Genomic DNA, 2,439 nt, shown 5'->3' with positions numbered 1-2,439 from the left:
AGGCGCATTGGAGTTTTAGTTTTGTTTCTCTGAATCGCTTTCTGGACCCTCCAAGTTCTCCTGGACTGTGCCACATTCTCACTCCTCTTTTTAAATTCAATTTTTTTATTGTGCCCTTAAGTATTTGACGGAAAAAAATGGAACGTCAAGATTTTAATTATTTACTTCATTCCAGATTTCTCTCCAAGCCTTGAAATTGCACACTTACACATTTTTACATCAATGTGTGCACACTATATTGCATTCTGCTTCGTCCACATAATATGATTTATATATACGTAAGTGTATGTGAATATATGTATGTGCGTATATATATGTGTATATATGTGTGTATGTGTATATATAAATATACAGAGATAAGAGATAAGAATGATGTTTATGCTAATATATGGAGGTGTATACACACACACACACACACACACACTCATATGTATATGTATAGACCCTGTCACCTTCCTCAGTGAGCATCTTATCGGATCCATAATACACCTCCATGTATTCGCATAAACACCATTCTTACCTCTTAAGTGGCCATAGAATAGGTCACTGTACTGAGATCTTGGCTTGGTCATTCCACTATTCCTGGATATATTAAGGCCGAATTTCTATGTTTCTGCATCTATATCTATAATTTCAGCCCAAGATGGCTACATTCCAGACCAGAATGGTACATTTGTTGCAATCGATGAACTGACATTGATACATCACCACCCAGAATCCATAGTTTACATTAGGGTTCAGTCTTGATGCTGTAGATTCAATAAGTTTGGACACATTTGTAATCACACGTATCCACTTTTATAGTGTCATACACAGTACCTCCACTGCCCCAAAGTCCTCTGAGTATTTGGGCTGAATATTTATATACATATAGCTATAATTTCACCCCAAGATGAAATTTTATATATATTTTATTTCATTTATTTCATTTTTAGTTAAGGCCTGTCCCTTTTTTTTTTTTTTTTTTTTTTTGCATTACTTCTCTGGGTTATGGTCTTAGAGGTTCAATTACCAGGTCAAAAAATATAAACTTTCACAGTCCCTTATTACATACTATCACTTGTTCTTCAAAAAACAGAACCCAAACCCTGATACTGCAGTGTTGATAGCAGTGTCCAAATGAAGGCGTTTCCTCTCATCACAGTCAAGATTGATTTTACTACTTTTTATTTACTTTTGGAAAGGCTACCCTCTCCACTCCTTTTTTGCTTTAGTTATTTTTCCCCTGCTGCTCGTTTTTTCCAACCAAGTTCTGTATATTCTGTTTTCTCTCCACAGTTTATCGTCTACGGAAGCATCTAGCACTCTGTGCGATTGGTGAATGACTGGCCCCCACACACCTGCCACCCAGTAAAACGGCCAGGAGTGGTGCTTGCTGCTGGCCAGTGAAACAAGCACCTTTGAGGGCTTGACCTCCAGGCACAGCATGTCCAGCCAGGAAGGCCTCCTCACTCTGCTAAGTGTTGAGCCTGGGTGTTTTTCAGACTCACTTTCAGGGCACCGTGAGTGGGTGGGGAGGCGGCGGGGGGGCAGAAGGCGAAGCACTAACCACAGCCCGTGCTGTCCATCTGCTTCAGCCTCTGGTTATGGGAAGCCAGGGAGTGGGGATGGTAGGATTTCCAGAGGGATCTCACTCCCCCCGGGTTTGCTGATTAGAAAAGACACTTGGGGCGCGGGGGCTCACGCCTGTAAATCCCAGCACTTTGAGAGGCCAAAGCGGGTGGATCATCTGAGGTAAGGAGTTCAAGACTAGCCTGGTCAACATGGTGAAACACAGTCTCTACTAAAAATACAAAAATTAGCCAGGTATGGTGGCGGGCGCCTGTAGTCCCAGCTACTCGGGAGGCTGAGACAAGAGAATTGCTTGAACCCGGGTGGCAGAGGTTGCAGTGAGCCGAGATCACACCATTGCACTCCAGTCTGGGTGACAGAGCAAGACTTTGTCTCAAAAAAAAAAAGACACTGGGGCCAGACAGCCCATGCCAATCACTGTCTTTCCCTTCGACTGAAGACGCAGGCACACTGCTTCCATGGAGGTGAACAAGAACAGGCCACTTTCTGCACATTCTGCAGGACTGAAAAAGCACACCAGGGTGTTTGTTTGTTTATTTGTTTGTTTTGTTTTGTTTTGAGGTGGAGCCTGGCTCTGTCGACCAGGCTGGAGTGCAGTGGCGTGACCTTGGCTCACTGCAAGCTTCGCCTCCCAGGTTCACGCCATTCTCCTGTCTCAGCCTCCTGAGTAGCTGGGACTACAGGCGCCCGCCACCATGCCTGGCTAATTTTTGTATTTTTAGTAGAGATGGGGTTTCACCATATTGACCAGGCTGGTTTCGAACTCCTGACGTTGTGATCTGCCCACCTCAGCCTCCCAAAGTGCTGGGATTGCAGGAGTGAGCCGCCGCACCCAGCTGAGTGGTTTGTTCTTTGTGGGGAGGTGTA

The sequence above is a fragment of the Homo sapiens genome, chromosome 1 (assembly GCF_000001405.40).
Source record: "Homo sapiens chromosome 1, GRCh38.p14 Primary Assembly".
NCBI lineage: Eukaryota > Metazoa > Chordata > Mammalia > Primates > Hominidae > Homo > Homo sapiens.
The sequence above is the reverse complement of the archived record's forward strand: the minus strand, read 5'-3'. Positions refer to the sequence as shown.